The sequence below is a fragment of the Homo sapiens genome, chromosome 6, assembly GCF_000001405.40.
Source record: "Homo sapiens chromosome 6, GRCh38.p14 Primary Assembly".
NCBI classification, from domain to species: Eukaryota; Metazoa; Chordata; class Mammalia; order Primates; family Hominidae; genus Homo; species Homo sapiens.
In genome coordinates, this window is record NC_000006.12 from 80,528,727 (window position 1) to 80,550,343 (window position 21,617).

The 21,617-nt window shown below is 36.1% G+C and overlaps 2 long non-coding RNA genes across 2 annotated transcripts in view, besides 2 other annotated features; one reads left to right on the top strand and one right to left on the bottom strand.

Moving 5' to 3' along the window:
* The window catches only part of LOC112267962 (uncharacterized), a 162,505-nt gene that overhangs the window by 43,751 nt on the left and 97,137 nt on the right, over positions 1 to 21,617 (top strand). The gene's annotated exons all lie outside the window — the stretch shown is intronic.
* Positions 1,114 to 19,951, bottom strand: LOC105377869 (uncharacterized). Its single transcript, XR_942720.3, has 3 exons — positions 19,804 to 19,951; positions 3,081 to 3,150; positions 1,114 to 1,954 (listed from the first exon to the last, which is right to left on the bottom strand). It is a non-coding gene; the product is annotated as an uncharacterized LOC105377869 (long non-coding RNA).
* Positions 7,158 to 8,357: an enhancer, noted in NCBI's record as "MED14-independent group 3 enhancer chr6:81245601-81246800 (GRCh37/hg19 assembly coordinates)". NCBI's record gives its function as "activates an origin of replication core promoter dependent on BRD2, BRD4, P300/CBP and CDK7 cofactors, and independent of MED14, by STARR-seq in HCT116 cells {active_cell/tissue: HCT116}" and the evidence as "EXISTENCE:reporter gene assay evidence [ECO:0000049][PMID:35650434]".
* Positions 19,124 to 20,323: an enhancer, noted in NCBI's record as "BRD4-independent group 4 enhancer chr6:81257567-81258766 (GRCh37/hg19 assembly coordinates)". NCBI's record gives its function as "activates an origin of replication core promoter dependent on BRD2, P300/CBP, MED14 and CDK7 cofactors, and independent of BRD4, by STARR-seq in HCT116 cells {active_cell/tissue: HCT116}" and the evidence as "EXISTENCE:reporter gene assay evidence [ECO:0000049][PMID:35650434]".

Consider the following 21,617-nt stretch of genomic DNA (forward strand, 5'->3'; position numbering starts at 1 on the left):
ATTAGTTAAAACTTGTATAATATCCAAGAAATTTATAGAAGTTAATTCTCCATTTCTCTCTCAAATTCATTCATTTAATTTATTTTCATAATTGGAGAAATCAGCAATTTTCCTATTCTGTTAGAATATCTATGAGATAATGATAAAGAGAAAAAAGTTAATCAAGTGGAAGAATTTGCAGAGGGATATTAGGTTCAGAAATAAATTATTTCAACATGTGAGGTTTTTACTGGGCTGCCAAAGAAAATCTATGGAGTAGGTCACAAGAATAGAAGCAGTAGCTAGTAGGCTTAAGTTTCTTGGTTTAGAAAAAGTTAAGATGGGTGTTCAGATATTACATTTTCTAAGAAGTTGGGTGGTTTGGAGAAGAATATGTACTTACAAGTTTAATTTCAAGAAACAGATTTTGGAAAACTTGATTAGAAGTAAATTTAACAATTACTAATCTTTGTCATTAATAATGGCTCACATTATCTTTCACTATATTTTATTCCAATATTTTAAATTATAAGTACTGGGCTAGAAGGAAGAAAATTGGGTTATAGTTCGATTTTTGACACTAACAAACAATGCAACTTTGGGAAAATTCATTTAACTTTTAGAGGCCTCAGTTTTCACTAAATGTGAACATTGCAATGTCTAATTTATGTACTTTCTAGCCTTCCAGCTCTAAAATTTACTCAAAGAAAAGTGAAGATATTTTCACCATCACTTCAGGTGTGTCCTCTAATTATATTTGGTTAGAAATGGTACCAACTTCTCTGAATGCTCTGTAGTTATTGCAAATTTGTGCTATTCAGATAGTAAACTTTCGCTCCTTAAACAAAAGTTTGAGGGCCACTGGTTCTATGAACTAGATGCATGAATTTGCATGCTTCAAACTCGAGTGATTTCTCAAGGATAGCAAGGTTTTACAGCAAAATTTACATTTATTTCTTCTGTAGCCAGGAAATCCTTTCTGCAAGAGTCTGATTTAAGTGATATTTTTGTTGTTGTATATTCTCTAAAATTAAGTTTTGAAAATACAATAGGCTTAGAGGACAACTAGTAAAACAAAATGAAAAACTTCATTACATTCATCCTGGAAATCAAGTACCAAAAAAGAAGGCACTAAAACCTTGGGATAAATAATAAGTAGTAGTTTTTAATTATTTTTAAACTAATGAACTTAGAGACTAAGAAAAGCTTTTGAAATGTTATATAGGCTCACCTACCGACAGGCATTTGCACACACATATTTACATACAATCTGAAGAGGTCCAAAAGGGAAAAGAACTCTATTAGGGTATCAGAAAACCAAATAGGCCATCTCTAAATTTCAGTTTTTGAAGTAAGTTTTGTTATCTGCATTCGACATTAGAGAGAAAAAACAAAGCAAAACAATGACAACTCTTAATTGTCCAAATAAGGGAAGAGTTTACCGGCATAGATAAATACAATCAATGGATAATTCTCAAATAATTTTTCTTTGATTTTGTAAAACTCATTTTAGCTTGTTTTGCCTTATGCTGATGTTGAAATCTGGGCATCTTGAGAACACACCAGTTGTTGGTTAGCCATATATGTGGTAAGTTGCTGGAGCAAATCCAGCCTGAATATTCTGTGAATGGTCTACAAAGTGTGAGCAATATATGTGGATAATTACGAGCTTTCAACAGGTTTTTATGTATTAATAAACATTTACTCCGAGGAGAAATCTGAGCACATTAATAAAGGCTGCAGTCAGTCCCACAGAGATACATATATTTTACCACAGCATGTGAATAGACTTTGAAAGGTGGCTGCCATTTCTCCTTCCAGATTTTACAGATGAGAATAATCTACAGTTAGAGGCATAGTATTCTGCTCTGAAATGGCACAGGATAGAACACAAGAAAATGTCTGGCCTTTCTCTCTCTCACTCACCTTTTACTTTTCTCTCCATTTTGATGTGGTCACTTTCTCATCTCCGATTCTGAAAACAATTTTAGTGTGGGTCTTACTCAGTGTGTTGTTCTGGAGAAATCACGGGGGCACTCAAATGTAATGCTGAGTCTGATTCTTGTTGGGCTCATGGTCAAGCACAGTTTTTAAATAGATGAAACCATTTTTGAGGGTTTGTTTTGATAATACTTATATCAATAATTTCACCCTTACAACAACACTCCTTAGTAGGTATTATTAACAGTGTTTATGAAGTGCAAATCAGGTCCCCAAGAAGCTAAATTATCTGAGGCCACTAGGATTGTAAGTGACAGAGCCAGTCCCAACTAACTGAAAATTTACATTCCCCATATATATATTTAGTTTCAGCTTATTTCAGTCTTTGGGATATAGTAGATGCTCAGTTACTATTTAGTGAATGTTGTTTGAAGGATATAGGTAACTTCAAAACTACACTAGCTTCCTGATGTGGCATCTAGCCAAACACATTGCTGTTCATCCTCCTCCATTCCCAATTAGATATTGAGCTTCTGTGCTCTTTGAAGCAGTGTGATGGACTAGACAACTCTAGCTGGAAACTTCATGTCTTGGGATGTATACAATTAAATGACTTCTTCAGTAATAAACATCTTATTCTTTGATGTTGTAGATACAATGATTTAAGACCTCTACATGTGACTTTTAGATAATAACATGTCTTTTAATCAAACAATGGGAGATAGGTTTAAAATACACCAAAGAGTAGCTGAGCCATTTATATCCTGGCATTGCATAATCCTACTTGCTACTGATGTCTTAAATAATTAAGAAATATTAAATGTTGACACTTTATAAGCACATGTAGTTTTTTTTTGTACTAGTAATTATTTTTTAATCCTGGAAAACATTAAAGTGATTGCAACCAGCTTTCACGTATTGAGTTTTCAGTGAAAATTTAAAGCAGCGATCTTATGTCTGAACTTTACAATGGTATCTATGTTAGAAAGTTCTAGAATGACTTCCTGTTATGTTTTTAGGTAAAAACTTCAATAATGTTATAACTATTTTTAATTTAATAGGCATATTTAACAATGGTCATTTTTACTATTGCTTCAAATCTTTAATCTTCTGAATTTATTGATGTTTATGTAAATAATGGTGTACACTAAGGAAGTTACCAGGCTTGGGGTTCTTGAACATACTGAATCCTTTTTCACATTCTTCTTGCCTTGGTTGTTGGCGTTCTGCCTGGATTAAAAAGAAAAAGCAAAACCAGAAACCATAAGTGAGAGACTCTTCATAATTCTATAACTAGTTAAGTGTGTGTGTGTGTGTGTGTGTGTGTGTGTGTTTGTGTGTTTGGTTTGAATTTCTGCTCCTTAGTGAACTGGGTATAATCTTTGACTGCAGACTGAGTCTATACATTTCAAGCCTTTCTTCTCCCTATATGACTCACATAATTCCTGTGTTGTGTGACATGGGAATGCTTATATCCTATAAGCCTGCACGTTTGTGTCAGAATCATAATTGACTTGGCACAATGGATGAGAGGAGTATTTAGGGGAGCCATTTCTATGCTATGAAGGAGAGCAGTATTCTGAACAATATGTAGAAGTGACTGTGAATCACATAAATATAGCCTAGTAAGCCCAATAAATGCACCCCCAACTTCTTAACTGAACTGAACCACAAATACTCATGGCCACTACCATGAGGAGGGGAAGTTAGCCAGCGGGGAAACTAAGCAGAAAGAGGTAGAAGGCCTACTAATTGAGGTTAAAATATGCCATGTTTGCAAATTTTATTAAAAAATATGACTATGTGAACACACTGTTAATCCCCCCTGCCAGGGCCTTGGAGGGATCCTGTGTGTGTGTGAGGAACCCTGAGGTTTTGGTTTCATTAGCTTCACAGTAAATCCACTTCTCTACCCCCAGACCCACCCTTTTCTCTAATGATGTGGTCTTTTTTCTCCATAAAGACTTTCGTAGTATGTTGTTTGCACCTGTCTTACAGAGGAAATTAACTTACACTGCTTTCTTTATAATACTTAAGTGTGTGACTATACATACACACATACGTATATACATCAATTAACTATTTATATACCTCTTTTTCTAGTATTGATCTTTTTGAGCATAGCTACTGTGAAATGCTTATTTTTGCATTCTATGCAATAGTAGGCTTTTTGAATAAATCTTTCTTCATACATATAAATTTATCCATCATTGATGGGCAAAGACGTGGACATTTAAAAAGGCCTTTTGATATAAATTTCACTATCATCTTCCAAAAAGATTATTTCTATGTACACTTGTACCAGCGGTATATAAGAATTATTGTTTAATCACATTCTACAAAGTGACTGATATTACTTAGGTTCCAAAATAACCCCATTGTATACATTTATTTGGGATAATTTTTATTTTTGCTACATTGAGTTTTGCTATTGGGCATCATACTACATTTTTTATGACTTAAGTAATCTTTACATCTCTCAGGGAAGTTTAATAGTTTTATTTATGTTTTAAACATTCATATTAAAATTTTCTGGCTATTTTATATTTTGTTGCTATTGTGAAAAACATCTTTTTTCTCTTGAATTTTTTATATCATCATTGAGGACATATAAAAAATTATTAATTTTGTGTATTTACTTAGTAGTTACTTATTAGTTATTTTCACTTGTTAATTGTAATAGTTACTCAGTTAAGAGATATTATTCCAGGAAAAGATTATTCTTTTGGTTAAGGGCATTTGGATATTAAGCTTGACCAAAGCTTTTTTACCTTATATAATTGTAATCTGATTATTCTTTAAATCTCTTATATGATAAACTATATATTTATTCATATTGAGTCATTATTACATTTCTTAATCTTTTTTGGCCATAGTTTTTTATTTGTTTAATATTCTGCTGAACTAGCTCCTAAATATAATGTAGGCAGGGATGTAGCTACAAGAATGTTTGTTTATTGCAGAAGTGTATATGAAAGCAAAGATTTATAAACAACTTGAATGTCCCAAACTAGATATTACTTAAATAAATTAAGGCACATATCCCCAATGGAGAATAAGCAGACAAAATGATGTTATAAAGCTATATTTCCTAATATGTTTACATTATTTGGTAAAATAGTAGTAAATCTTGAATGAACTCATTAAAAGCACATTTGTATGTGTGTATGTAAGTGTTTGAGGTCTGTGAACACATTTGTGTGTGAATAAGTGGGTCTGTGTGTGTGTGTATGCATGTGTATACGTACACTTGGAAAGATCTGTGCTATAACTACAGCATGAGGTTTCTCCAGATAAAGATTATATTATGTTTTCATATTTTTTTTAGAAAAACTGATGTTATAGATTTTTTGCTAAAAATTGCATATACTCAATATGAGAAGTTCTTCTAATATCTCAACCCAGAAGTGAACATTGCTAACAATAAGTTAACATCATTCCATATATCTCTTCTGTATAGTAAACATATAATTAGAAAGATATATTAGCAGATACTATGGCTATATTGTATATGTCCCTCCAAAATTCATACATTGGAACTTAATCTCCAAGGCTGTATTATTAAGAGGTGAGGCCCTGGGAGGTGATTATGTGGAGCCTCATGGATGGAATTAATGCCCTTATAAAAGAGGCTTGAGGGAGCCACCTATCACCTTCCATCCCTTTTACCATGTGAAGACAAAGCTTTTGGCCCCTTGTTCAAGGTGCTGCCTTGGAAGCAGAGCCTGAACCTTCACCAGATACTGAATTTGCTGGTGGCTTGATCTTGGACTTCCCAGCCTCCACAACTGTGGAACAATGAATTTGTTTATAAATCACTCAGTCTGAAGTGTTCTGTAATAGTATCAGGAATAGAGTAAGAGAGTAGAAATACCTTTAAAATTTTGATCATATTCTATATGCTATTTAATTTTATTTGTTCTTTGCATTTAAGAAATGATGATAAATTAAGTAAAATTGAATGGATTGCTCAACATCAGACTGTGGTTCTGCATTAGGACTTCCAGGAAAAAATCCATGGACTGGGTGGCTTAAACAACAGAAATTTAATTTACTTTCCCACAGTTCTGGAGGCTGGAAGTCTAAGCTCAAAGTGTTGGCAGTTTTGGTTTCTCCTGAGGCCTCTGTCTTTGGTTTGCAGATGGCTGCCTTCTTGTTGTGTTCTCACGTGGTCATCTGTGTTGTATGTGCCCTAATCTTCTCCTTTTATAAGGACACCAGTCATACTGTACTGGGGCCTACCCTAATGACTCCATTGTAACTTAATTGCTTATTTAAAGACCCTACCATCAAAACAGTCACATTCTGAGATTAGGAGGAGGGGAAGGATACACAATTCAGCCCATAACAGGTTCTTTACCAAAATATATTATAATCCCTTAACCTTTGAGTTTCTTTCAAGGGTTAAGAAAAAATGATTGTGTAAACATTAGGATGTGGGAATATCTTTCTAAAAATTATATATTAGTCTTGTATGCTTACACTTCTTCCTACCACCTGTTAGTCATATATATATGTGTATATATATATTGCTTTTACACCGTCAATATTTATATTATTTTGCAGTAAGTATAATTCCTATAGTCATTTAAGTTTAGTTCTATATTTGGATTGATTTAGTGCTCACCAACAGTCTTATCATAGTTTCTCCATTTCATGTATTGCCCACTTTCTATCATCAAGTAGAATTTTCAAGGCAGGTCCATAAGTACTGCTATCTTTTGAATTATTTCACATTGGTGGCTATGGGTCTACTGTCTCTCTCCGAGTTAGACTGACTGGGAGCACCATTTTCGGGTCTTATTTTATTTTCCACAGGTGACAAACTGGTTACTTACCAGTTTCTCCAGCCAACAGAGAAATTTTTTCCCAATAAAATTGGATAACGTTAATTTTGTTGCTGGAATTCAAAAGTTGGGAGAATTAATACAAAAGTTTGGATTTCTGAATTTTCTTGAAAAAATCAATGATGTAGTAATATGACATCCTGTTAACTACATTTTTCATTTTCTCAACAGAAAATTGGCTGTGGCTACCTTGTTTTGATAGCACATGTATGCTCTCCACTTCACTGAATCCAATCTGTTTCAATAACTTTTATATCTTGTCTCATCCTTATAGGCATTAGAGTTGGCAACTCCAAGCTCAGAATTTTTTTGACATTGCACTATCATTTCATGGCACTGAGTACTGGACTAGTCATTTTGCTGTGGCTTTTCCAGTCATTTCTTGGTGGGCTTTATTTGCATTTTTTTTCCTCAGGAAGTTCTCATGCATAATGTTTCCTAAGTTCTCTTATATTTCAGAATGTCTGAGTGTTGCCCTTATTCCTAAACTAACATGTCTGGCTACAATATATCTTGAAAATTTTTTTTTTCTTCAGGATATTCTGTTAGAAATAGATAATTGGTGCTGTTAAGAAAAGTCAGCAGGGAGACAAAGGATCTCTCAGCAAGGCCATTTTTACTTTCTGCAGAAAGGGTGCTCCTTGCAGATTGAACAATGGCAAGAGCACACTTCAACAAAGGGACCCAAATGTGTATCCCTTACACATTTGGGTCATCCTCATTGCTGTGTCCTGCATCCATTGGCTGGAGCTGGACCTCACAGTCTTAAGCTGATACCCAATTTTCTAATAACCTAAAACTTTCCTAAATAGGTAAGTGCAAGGGAGAACAAGGAAGGAGAGGAAGTTGCTTATGAAAGGTTTAAGGAAGCAATAACATTTCCAAAAAAGGAAGGGACATAAGCTATGAGCCAGGACTTGCCTGGGCCTGTCCAGACATGTCTGAGTGAGGCAAAGCAACTAACTGGGCTAAAGTGTAAGAACTAATAGTTGATAGGAGGCTTTAGAGTAAGAAGCTATTATTTCTAGTGTCTATTATTTTATTTTTAAACCAAGACGAGCTTTGAAGAGGAACTTTTCTACTTTCTACATATTCTATATATTTGTTCTACGATTTTCTGGGTTAATTTCTTGCTGTGGGGAGATCAGCAACCAACCTGGTTTCCTCCCTTTTATTTGACTTGTTCTTTCTGTCTGGATGGCTGAAAAAAATATTTCCTTGTCCTTGAATCTTAATAACTTAATCAGATAGTCTGCAGTGTTGATGCTTCTGTATATATTTTTTTCCTAGGTGACAAGGTCTGTCCTCTACTGTGCTTCTCTTTAATTTCAGAGATTTTTCTTTTTAATATTTTTATTTCTTGTTTCATTTTCTTGGGTTACAATGATAAGGACATAAAATATCCTGTTACTTTGCCCTCTATAAGCTTAGTTCTAATTTGTTAATATTATCTCAGGCCTTTCCTCAATCCCATTAATATGACATTCAGCTTGTCTTTTTTCTTGCTATTTCTAATTTATCAAATAGACATGTAATGGTTCTAATGATGTTGTTGGACTCTCAATTTATCTCTGTCATCTTCCTTTATATCTACTCCTGTTGTTTTATGAGCTTTCATATTTTTGGCTTCCTATTCTAAGTTTTGCACACTGTGAAGCAAGTTCGAGGAGTTTATTCTGCTCTTAAATACAGTTTCTTTCCATCTAGAATTTTGCTGTCTCTTTTGTATGCCATGTCAGTTTTCCTCTCTGCATTTTTGTTGCAGTTATGCATAACTGCAATGCCATTTCTTTTAGTCTGGCTCATGCTTACTGGGGGCAGCTCCCAAACTCTCTCTTCGCTCTGTAAGTGTGTCTGAGTGAATTCTGTAGGATACTTTTGCCACTATGTCTCTCCAGTTTGTCCTCTCTCAGAGCTGTACTCTGACGCCTGAGTATTGCTATTACTCAATTTTTCTCTAGCCTCAAGTCATGACAGTGGAGAAGGCAGAAAGCTTAGGCTCTGCTTTTTCTTCAAGTTGAGTAAATTTTCTGTATTACAATCAACTCCATCAAACTAGGAATGTGTTCTCTTCCTACTCACTTCAGTTCAATCTTCTGATTTGTGCGTGATGCCCTGAAGCGTATGCTTCCAGCAAGGAGAGTTTGTTTAGGTTATTCATTTTCCTTGTTTTACTTACACATTCTTCCAGCAGCCTTTTGTGTATACACCTTAGTTCCCAGTCAGAACAGGAAAAGATAATGATTCCTATGGGGTTTACCCCCATTACAGTTAATTGGGGTAGAGGTGACATCACCTTCTGTTTAATTTGTCAGCTTTTGGTGCTCACAGGTTTTTTGTTTGTTTGTTCCTATTTATCTACTCTTTTGTTTTCATGTCTGCAACTTACTGCTGGTGTTTTTTAGAACCCTCTCTTTTCCCCTCCCTTGCTAGTAGAGCGTAGAATGACACTCACTGAAATTTTTTCTCTTCCTCTATTGAGTACCTTTGGTAGGGGTGCTTGCATAGCTGTTTTCCTGACTCTTTCTCCAACAGCCTACTTCTTCAGCTTCTCCTCATTTTTAGGAATACCATTAAGACTTTTGAGGTGTTGATTAATCATCTACTTTTCCTATCATTTCTTCTGAAAGATGCAGATTAGTTTAAAAACTTCCTGAACCAAAAAAGCAATTTTTATTCATTTGTTTGGCACTTCTTTTCAAAATTTGTGTTTTGTGTTTCTTGTTCCTTTCATCAAGTGTTGGGGTAGGAACATTCTCTTCTCAGGCTTATCTCTACTGTCTCACCTTGGAAGTCTAAACTATCTTTCCATTTGTTTTTCGTTTTATCTTTTTTTTATGAGACAGGCAGATATGTGTTTATTTGTTTAAAATTTTTTTCTACTGTGGATATATACTGCTTTGGTTAAATTGTTTAAAAATTTAAAACAATCTATCTTGAAATAGTTTTTATATCATTTATTTAGACTTGTGTAACCACTTTAATATTTTATATCATTTAGATTTATATAAGTATGTTTATAACACATTATATTATAATTTCTATTTGAACTATTTATAACAATTTTGCCACCAGAGTTATGCTAGTTTTATATAAAGATGTGGGAAGTTGAAATAATTTTATGTATTCTGAAAATATTTAAACAGCATGATACTTATTTATTAAATTTTATATTGAATTTACTGGTCTCAGTGGTTATATCAGAGGTACATTTTGATAACTGTTTCATTATTTTTCATGGTTCTTAGCATATTTTTGCTCCTTGAAATAATTTTGATAATGTCTTAGATAATCTTATATTTAACCTAGATTTTTCCATTTTTCCACTGTAGTAATCTTATTTCCATCACAGTAATTACATATTTCCTTTATAGTAATTTTCTTTTTTATTATTTGATTTCCATAAGTGCATATCAGAATACTTTTCCCCATATTTTTAGCTGGGTAAATGTTGTATTTGATTATATCTTTATAGCCTTTAGAAAACTACATTTTCACCATAGTTTTTTAGCTTTTTGTATTTTAGAGGGGAAATTTGAGGCAAGTATCATTTTTGTGCTTGTGTGTATTACGTATATACATTTTGTATCTAGACTTTTATACTTGCTTTTTTTTAAATAAAAATAGGTATGATATATCATTATTTCTCTTCTTGATGGCCCTTTTTTAAAATTCAGGAAACTTTTCTTTTGTAATATCTTTGATTATTGTTTTTGTCCAATTTATTTACTTTTTCTCTGAGTAACAATTATTTGAATGTTGGTTCCATAGTCTCTGTCTGCCATATCAATTCTCTTTCCTCCATCATTTTCCTCTTTTTTCCTCATATTCTACATATTAAGAGTGCTTCTTAAATGTGTTATTATATTATTATTATATCATTATTTTCAATTTCCAACATATATTTTACTATTTGCCACTATCAATGTGCCTGACAGTTTTCTACTATTTTTAAAGTTTTGTGAACCCTACTGTTTTAAAGTTTTTTGAAACTCTCATATTATGTTTATTTTAAATCTCATTCTAAAGTTTTTACAGCTTAACTTTTGCACTTTTTATAGCTTTCTGCTCCTGTGTCAGAGACTACCTTTTTTGTATCTTTTGGGTGATGTCAGAAAAACAATAGTATCACAACAAGAACAAAAACAACAACAGTAGCAACAACAATAAAACTAACACAAAAAACCCCCACAACAACAAAAAACCCAGCAAAGAAAGAAAAACAATTTGGTTAATTTTTCAGATATTTTTCTGTGCATTATAGTAAGTAGTTGTCAGAGGTGAACTTTTCTTTCCTGTCTTCAGACTCTGTATTAATAAGGGTTCTCTAGAGTGTCAGAACTAATAGGGTAGATGTATATATGAAGGGGAGTTTATTAAGGAGAATTGACCTACACAGTCAGGAAGTGAAGTCCCATAATAGGCTGTCTGCAAGTTGAGGAGCAAGGAAGCCAGTCCAAATCCTTAAAACCTCAAAAGCAGGGAAGCCAATGGTGCAGCCTTCAGTATATGGCCAAAGGCCAGAGAGCCCCGGAAAACCACTGGTGTAAGTTCAAGAGTCCAAAAGCTGAAGAATTTGGAGGCTGATGTTCAAGGGCAGGAGGCGTCCAGCACGGGAGAAAGATGAAGTCTGGAAGACTTAGCAAGTCAGCTTCTACCACCTTCTTCTGCCTGTTTTATTCTAGCCACTCTGGCAGCTGATTAGATGGTGCCCACCCAGATTGAGGGTGGGCATGCCTCTCCCAGTCCACTGACACAAATGTTAATCTCCTTTGGACATACCCTCGCTGACACACCCAGGAACAATACTTCGCATCCTTCAATCCAATCAAGTTGACACTCAATATTAAGCATCACAGACTCAAAGGTCTATTTCTTTCTTATCTCATGCATTGCTTTATAAGACTATAAGGCTGTTGGACCTGGTACACATCTTAATCTCTAGACTGTAGAAAGCCTTCACCTAACTAGGGTAATTATCTTCTGTAGATTCTATCTTCTCTTATCCTCACAACCTGAATCTTTTTGGAAAAGCTCTATTTTGTAAGATACATACTGCCATCAAGGATCTTTTTCCCTTTGCCTTGGTTTTGCTTGGAGTGGTGTGATGGTCATTATGATCACACATAGTTGAGCTCCCAGCAATCAGTCTACATTTGCTCAAACACCATCCCCAGAAAAGAAGAGCGTAATAACACATCATTGTTTTCTGGGGATGGTGTCTGAGCAAATGTAGATTGATTGATGGGACCTCAACTATGTCTGATATAAGAAACAGCACAGTGGTGGTAGAGGATTGGATGCCCAGATATCATGTCCATGTAGCTGGCCAGAGAAAGGAAGAATGGCAGAAGGCCATGAAAGAAACACTCCCAGTTGAGTCAGTTCCGAGGGACCTACTTAAAGTCTGACAAACATTTTCACTATATGTCATGAACAGAAATTAGCCCTCTCCCTACACCCAAGTGTAAGAGTGTCTGGGTATGTAGCCTTTTGTTTTGGGTGGCAATATACCCAGGGAAAAATAAGGGTACTGAGAAGGATGGGAGAGAACAGGTCTTTCTGTAGGCAACTGGCTATCTTTGTCATAACCTAGGTCTTAGTGAGTTGGGGCTGACAGCAGAAGGGATTAAAAAGTACTTTATGTTATTAACCATAAACTACAGGAAGGACCAGCATGATCTCAGTCATCATTTTATCTCAGGCTTACTTATTATATTCCTTATATTATGTTCAAATTTCTTCCTCCTCCTCCAGCAATGTTAGGGTGACTGCTATGTTGAAAAGAGACCACAAACTGTTAAAGTCTCAAATTGCATGCCTCACCTTTCCACACCCTCCCTTTTGCAGGCCAAGTTGTTCATTCTCTTCTTTTGGGGCAATACCTAGCAGATTACTCATATGAGGATTAGTCAGCCCTTGTTCCCTGATGCCACATCCTCCCCCAACCAACTACCATGTATCAAAGAGTCCTGGGACTCCCACTTTTGTCTTTTCTGTTACTAGCACACTTAATTTCCCACTCACCATCTTCCTTCTTGCCTCCCACTCTGTTCCTACTAATAGTGTTAATACTATCAACAGCAATGACTAGCATTTTTATTGTTCTTCTTACAAAGTTCCTTCTCATATTTTTATTTTTATCTCATGTGCACCTCACAGCCATCCTGCTATATTTTTTCAATTTTCACTAAGGCATGTATTTTAGAAGGTTGGCAATTAAACAAATCCGTGTGAGTAACGGGTAGAAATGTAAGTCCAACCCAGGTCTCCTAACCTCACATCTCATGCTCTTTCTATCACACTATGCTGCAAGTCACACCTCTTGTATATTGTCTCCCAACAGCAGCAGTACAAATGATAAAAAGTCCTGGATTAGTGGGTACATGAGAAGGAAGGTTACAAAGTGCACTAAATGGAAATGGAGGCCATGAGGCCCAAATAGTTGGAGATGATCCTTGCTACAAAGTAGGAATGAGCAGTGACTATTCGTGCTTAAGGACACATGGACTTCAAAATACTCTTTCCTCTTACCAAAATGTTCCTGGAACTGGACAATATTAATAGGACAAACACTGGAGAAGTTCACAAATAATGAACAGCTGCAATAGCAAATCTCTCTTCCACCAGAGTGTTTTATCAGAGCTCGTGTGCTCCTGGCTTAATGCTTAATGCTTCACCAAGGGAAGCAATTCACGGGTGGAAGCAACCATGCAGATCAGAGAAGATTAGTTTTCTTTCTTTCCAGTGGTTTGGGACCTCATAGAATAGCCTCAGATAAAAGAGGAAGCTGCAGGCAGAAAGCCATGAACTCCTGAGCCTGACTGTAGAAGACAGGCGAATAGGTGGTAGAAATACAGTGATAATTTTTCCCAAGGGAGTTAGACAGCTTTTTAGTGAATGAAAGAAGCACAGCACAAATTAGTTCAGATCAAGTTTTCAGCTTCTAAGCTTGGGTTCCTCAGGCTATTTCTTGACTTTCTTTGAAACCACTGAAATCTGTAATAATACCCTAAGCTTCTGTTTTATTTTAGCCACCACATAGGCTATACTCAGATGTAAACATATTTGTCTAATTTAGCCTCAGTCCAGTACATTCAACATTTTATCAGGAAGTTACAATTTTACTGCTGTGTCCAGGGAGTGGTATGGAGGGTAGAGCAAGTGTATTAGTCAATTCACACACTGTAGTAAAGAACTACCTGAGGCTGAGTAATTTATAAAGAAAAGAGGTTTAATTGGCTCACGTTTCCACAGGCTATACAGGAAGCATGGCTGGGAGGCCTCAGGAAACTTACAATCATGGTGGAAGGCAAAGGAGAGGCTGGCACGTGCTACATGGCTGAAACAGGTGGAAGAGAAAGAATAAAGGGGAAGGTGCCACACACTTTTGAACAACCAGATCTCTTGAGAACTCTATTATGAGAACAGCAAGGGGCAAGTCCTCCCCCACGATTCAATCACCTCCCACTAGGTCCCTGACCCGATACTAGGGATTACAATTCGACATGAGATTTGGGTGGGGACACAGAGTCAAACCATATCAGCAAGGAAGAGGGCTGGGCCCTTATGGATATATATATAGACTTGTGAGAGCTTTATATTTGGTCAGTGTGCCATTTACTCTTCTATACAATGTGGCATTTAATCATCAGTGTGATTTGCACAGACTAAAGATAGTAGGGCTGGATAATATTTTAAGACAATAATGTACTTGTTTCTGTTATGTATTCAGTTATTTATTCATTCAGCCATTCAGCAGATATTTACTGAGTGCATCTATAGTGTGCCAAGCACTGTTTTACCTGCTAAGGATACAACAGTGAAGAAGACTAGCAAAACAATTCTTGTCTTCATGAAAACAGAGCATGCACTATACTCAATTCCTGATGAATAGCCAAGAGGAAAGCATAAAACATCTTTGTTTTCCATTAACCTCAACTATGCTCACAAATGCGAAGCCTGCTGTACCATTGACCCAAATAAGTGTGTTGTTTGGCCTCCACAGTTAAAAAATTTTTAATATTAATGCTTTTTGAGGTTCTTTCCCTTCCCAGTGTACAGCACTCTCTATCAGTCTTTATTCTATTACAACTGTCTTGCTTCTCCTATTTATTCTGTTCCTATGTCTCCTGTAAGTGTCAGACTCTTAGGATTTGGGCCTAAATCCTAAAAATTGGAGAACTATGAAATAAGTAAAAGTGAGAAAAACATTTTTAAGTCCCAGAGAATTACATGTACAAGCCGGGGAGTTTGGGCGACCCCAGTCACAAACTGAAATGGGATTCCCCTCCAGCCTGTAGGGGGAGAGGAGCAAATAGTCTGTGAGCGCTCGAGCAGTGGCAACTCTGCTTCCTGGGATGGAGAACCCAGAAGAATCTAGCAGGGAGTTGCTCTGCAGTGCGTTTAGTCAGACTGAGCCATAGATGCTTCATAAGAAAGTCTCATAGTAACAGTGTGAGGAAGCAGCTGATAGGGACAGAGCCCACGGACATACCGAGGATGACTCATATGGGTTGAGGATTGACACTTGATGAACACAGAACATTGAACTCCACACTGTGTCTGGGACTAGTCTAAGATTTCTGAGCCATATCCCAACCCTGGGGGAGAGCGGAGACTTCTCAAATAACTGAGGTTGCATTTTCCCAGCTGGGATAGCGCTTGGATTCAGCAATAAAGTTAAGTACTGAATAATCGGGAGAATGGTGCTTCCTGTACACTACAGTCAGTGGAATGAAATTCACACCTGTTTTGCTAGCTTGTAGGGGAAGCTTCTACCACTTTCCATTAGGGTAGAGGATGGGAGGACTGGAAAATGATCATATTTTGAGATGCAGGATGGTTTTTCCTTGTAATCTATATGTCTCAGTTGTCATCTTTTAAAGGGCTTGGTATGTGACCTATCTTTCCCTTTTAAATTTTTCTGGCACTTTTTTCTTATCCTGTAGGCTCCTTCGTTCTCATATCTCTTGGTTCAATCTGACTGCATGGAGTATTTTCAAGACCATACTCTCCATAGATTAGCTATGGAGGCAGCCCTTTGTTTCTACAGCCTCACAGGCTCAGCACCTTTCCACAGATCTCTCTCCTGGCTCCTGTCCTCCTTCTCCCTCATGCTTCCAAGCTTCTCCACTCTGCTCCCTCTTTAAACCAGAGAAGTCCAAAGTGCAGTCCCCAGGCCAGCAGCTCAGTAATCCTGGAGTCTTGTTAGACATGCAATTTCCAGAACCAGCTCCAGACCTACTGAATCAGAAATCTGCAGCTGGAACCCAGCCTGCCAGGGGACTTGGAGGCTTGCTTATATTTGAGAATTTCTGTTCTGAAAGGAAACACTAAGAATGTAGCATCCTGTGACAGGCAGCAAGAAAGCCTCCCCCAGAAGTGAACAAAAGTGTCTTGTGAGGAGTGTTGCTGTCCTTTATAAAAAACAAATACACTGATGTCCATTATTAAGTTTTCAAGCTCTCTTTTATAAATTCCAACCAATTCTCTCCACATCTAAATCAAATTTAAATGTTTTGACATTGTGGGTAACTTTTCAAGAAAATCCTAAAATCTAGAGATTTCACTTTACTTTTAGTCCTCTTTGCAGTGTTGTTTCAATTGATTTTCCATTATGTCATGTGTATTTTCATGGCTATATATGGTGGATATTATTTGATTGTCTTATTGGCCTGAAAAAAAAAGAAGAAGAAGAAGAAAAGAAAGACTTGGCTTTGTAGAAAGCATGTGGAAAGTTAGATGGAAATTCTTATGTGAAGTGTTGCATGATTACTACAGGTTTTCTTCTGGTAATTATGCATGCTCTTTATGAAACTCCTCTTTTAAAAAGTGCAGAAAGTTGAGACTTAAAAAATCTGAAACCTGGACAAATTTAATATTTCCAACAAGAGAGTCAGTGATCAGCAATACTTTTTTTAGCTTCTGTGTTTGCATAACATGTAAGATTTGCTGCCTGCTCATTTACATTTTCACTCAACAGTCTAACATGAATGGAGTGTTTCACTTTTTCTCAGCCAGTAAAGTATTGATTCTGCATCACAAGGGGAAAATATAAATGTAGGTCTTTCAAAGATGACCTCAACCACAATGTTAGAAAATTGCTAAGTGTTAGAAATCTTAAGTATAGTATTGGCAGAGAACAAAGGTTCACAATTTGGGATGCATAGTGTAAAATCTTTAGGTTCTATTTTTAATAGTCAAACCAAATCAAAATGGTGGGGCCAGTTAAATCTCTGTTAAAAAAACAAGACCTTTAAACCTCCAGTGTCATACATTTGAAAAAAAAAAAAAAAAAAAAGCAGGGTCAACGATCTACATAGATAGTAAAACACAAATCCTGAACATTCCCAAAATTGAAAATAAAATTCCCAGTGGATCAGTTATGGCCTCCGAAACAAATCTGCTTCCTCAATTCCCCAAGAATACTGAATCTTATTGGAAAAAAATGAATTTAGTAGAATACTACCTCTGTAAATGTATTATGCAAAAATCTCACTCCTTTTTTATAGGTTCATTATGAAAAAGTTTCACTCCTATGGTATAGGTAGTTCATTTCTGATTACTATGTCCTTTTATTTTGTAGCAGTAACCACCCACTCAGTAATTTCCATGCTGATGTGAATTGTATTTTAACTTGTGGTGCTGTTTTATATTAGTGTGCACTGGCTCTGTCTTCTCCTTTCATTTCCTTGAGGGAAGTATAGTATTTAGACAGCAAATTATTGTTTTAAAACAAGGGATGGGGTTATTGTTAAGGCATAGTGAGAAGATTTACTTTATTAATCAGACTTGGTTTGTTCTGAAGCAGTGTGTCCAAAAGGAAGCCAAGTAGAAACATCCATGTTTTAATCATAGGAAACCTTGATATTGTTTGTGCATGAATAAATACATTAAAGGAAAACATGTGGAGTGATCATGTTTGAGTTTTTCCTTATGGTGTTTGCCAACATGAGTAATTATGTATTAGATGTTAAATCAGGTTGAATTTCCAATTTGACATTGTCTCTTTCTTTGTTTTCCCTCATTTCCTTCTTTCTTTCCCACTACCCCCACACCACTTTGTCATCTGATACATTTATTTGAAGGATGTGGGCATCATCAAATTAAAAAATGTGTTACCTACTAGCTGAATAACTGAGCTTGGTATAGAAATATGAAATTGAAGAGGAATGGGTCCCTATGAGTAAACAGAAGTGCAGTGCTCAAGGAGCTAACAATTTAGTGGTGGCACAGACATGGACACAAAGAATCATAACACAGTCAGAATGTGCTATAATAAAACTATAAATATAGTTTTAATGGAACCATTGCATGAAACAAGAGGGAAGGCATACGTTTCTTTATAGAAGAAATAGCTTTGAGCTTGACCTTAAAATCTGAATAATGTTTGAAAGATGAAGATGGAATAAAATGCTCTATCAGATGAAGGTAACAGAGGTGGGTAAGTGTGCAGATAGAAATGCAGATGTCATGAATTGTGGCTGTGGAAGATGCATTAATATAAAGAAAAACGTCAGACCATAATGAAGACTCTAATAAAGCGATTTTAACAAGACCAAAAACAAACTAAGTGAGTGACAGAATGCCTCAGTGAGGGAGGTCATGGCTCTGAGATGGTCACTTATACCCTCCTACCCAGCTCCTCCTCCATTCCAGTGACAATGGGGCTGTTCTGGTTGAGAAATATATTGTCTAACCTAGAGGCCAAGAAGCAGAGATGATAATAAGGTGGTGGGTTCCAGGAAGAGTCAGCTGTATAAATCTGTTTATAAAAAACCTGACATGGTTTGGCTGTGTCCTCACCCAAAATCTCATCTTGAATTATAATCCTTATACTCCCCATAATCTTCGTGTGTCAAGGGCAGGATGAGGTATAGGTAATTAGATCATGGGGGTAGTTTCCCCCATGCTGTTCTCGTGATAGTGAGTGAGTCTCATAAGATCTGATGGTTTTATAAGCGTCTGGCATTTCTCTTGCTTGCACTCACTCTGTCCTGCTTCCCTGTGAAGAAGGTGCTTTCTCTTTGCCTTCCGCCATGATTGTAAGTTTTCCGAGGCCTCCCCAGCAATGCAGAACTGTGAGTCAATTAAACTTCTTTCCTTTATAAATTATCCAGTTTTGAGTATTTCTTCATAGCAATGTGAGAACAGACTAATACAACACCAAAGCATCCCAAAATTTCAGGCCACTATTCATTAATCAATTAATCTGTTACTCAGAATGTTTGTTTTATATATTATTTGTCCAAAGCAGTTTACTTCAGGTTTAACATTTCTCAAGCAAAATAGCCAGATTATTGAGCTAAATTTTAGAATTAAATTTACTAGATATTTTGGAATCATGTAAAACCAGCCTATATAAAAAGCATCTTCATCAGTGAGTTGGCTGGAGTTATTGTTAAACAAAAGCCATAGCACTCTGTCATGGGGTTGAATTTAGTTTCCTACCACATTTTTTTTCAAGTGAGTCACTAAAGCACCATTCTGAACCCACAATATGTTACCAACAAAAGCACTTCTTTATTTTTCTCTGGTTTCTCTTTGCAGCCAAGCAAATATCATATTCATCAGCAAGAAATCCCCAAATACCAAGCAGCATACCAGCATCTGCTTGGGCCACGGATTCAGGACAGATTTCAAATCCTGGGAGAGAGACTTAATATCCTCTTCTTCTTGGGCATGATCTAGAGCAAAAAATGATTTCACTGACCCATGTCAGTCTTAACACTTTGTTTCTCAGAAACAGACAGGGATCTCCATCAGGTATTATTTGTTGAGGATGTCTGTATATAGAGCATGAAACAGGAAACTGGCCTTTGCTGTATGCAGAAATAAATTTCTGGCCTTGGAATAGCCTTGTCTAAAACTCTGAAAGTGAGCATTTCTGCTGAGGTTTATTCTGAGTGTTTACATGTTAAGATCAGATGAAACCATTTTCCTTTTCCAAGTCAAGACTACTCTTTTAGAGGGCCAGTAAACACTATTTATCTTTAGCAGTGCATATTGCAATGATAAAAATTTAGTCACTTACCCTTATCTGACAGTCCAAGTCTCCATGTGCATACACATTGATAGAGGAGTAGTTGCCAATTACTGAATCAGTTATCGATGCGCTTTGACGTCAAATGGCAGCAACATAGTTTCCTTTACGGTGAGCTTCTGAGCAGCAGCTTAGGACAAGGAGGAGACCAATAGGAATTCCAGGAGAGGGTGCGGCTGCACGCACATCCACAGTCAATGCTTAGAAAGCCTGATGCAGCCAGGAGTAACTTGCACAAGAGCAGATGTGGGCTTTTGTCATACTTAAAACAATAGCTTTGCTCCCTTCTAATAACAAAATAAGAAATCCCCTGAGTCTTTAGATGGAAGAACATAAATTATAGTCATATTTTCCATATTTTAATAGTTCACTGTTTAAATCAGGGTAGAATTAAAACTCAACATCTGGAGACAACATCCAAGAATATCCTAGATTATTTTTTTCCTGGCAATATTATGCTTGCTGTGTCTTTAAAACTTTCCTCACAGCATAAAGAGATCTATGATTTTCTGGAGAATACAGTTTTCATTATTTTCCCTTTAGAAAGGAGAAATTTTTAGCCAATGTTGACAGTTAAGGGTCCTTGGAAGGCTTTTTGGTTCATCCTCTTCTTAAATGACTGGAAGATCTAGATTTTCAAGTTCCACAAAACTAAGAACGTCCGACTTGCTTTGCTTTCTTATATTTTAGGCTAGAGCTCTGTCATGTAAATGAGATGGGCTGAGGTTCAAACCCAGGTTCTGTCTATCTAGCACAATCGTGTGAGGGCCTAAGTCTGTATGGGTGTGTTTATTGCTGCTCTTGATACATGAAGACAGAGAGATATAAGTTGCAGATATGATCATATTACTCCTTTTCTTAAAATGTGTCTTTGGTTCCCCTTTGCCTACAGAAAAACATCACAATTTCTTGGCCCAGTTTTCAAGCCCTTCTAATCTATGCAGCTTCACCCTCATCACATCTTCTGCTTAAAATTTTACTTAATAATTCTTAAACACTATGTGATTTCCCTTTCTTTCTGTGTCTTTCCCTCCATTTTCCACCCAATGCAACTTCATTAATCCTTTCAGGGTCACTTCAAATTTCTCTCTCCTTGGGAGCCTTCCTTACTTTATCAAGTAGAATTGACTGATGCTTTCTTTGGCCCACACCCTTAGTTAATATCACTATTCTTACCCTTAAAGAATTACTCTGTATTTATTGGGCCATGGTCTATTTAATCTAACTGATTGCTACTTGCTTGAGGGAAAAGATTGTCTTAGTCATTTTCAATGTCTTTGGCATGCACAGTGCCTAGAAAATGGTAGATTTTTTTTTTAAATCAGTGGTACATAGATTGATGCTGGTCAGGTTTTCTGACATTTAAGCTGTTAAATTTGCTTCATTGGCACATGGTATGATCAATGTTTCTCAATGCTGATTGCTCACTGCAATCACATAGATTTGGATTTAGTTAGTCTTCAGTGGAGCCCAGGGGGTCTGTAGTAATAATAGCAAGTACTTATATAGCTCTTACTATATAAGGCATTATTTCTGACACTATTTTAAGCACTTTATTTACATTAATTTATAAGCATTTTTTTGAAATCTATGGTTGAGAATCACTACAGTCTGATTCAATGACAAGAAACTATAATCACTGAGATTGAAGTAGAATTCTGATACACAGTGATAGAACTAAACCAGTTTCTTTTAGCAAAGCCAAATAAAAATATATTTACTTGTTTTTGTTTTTAATTAAAGGAGTAAAGTAGCAGTCTCAATGTGTACAGTGTGATGAGTTGTGATTAAACTAAAAATAATTT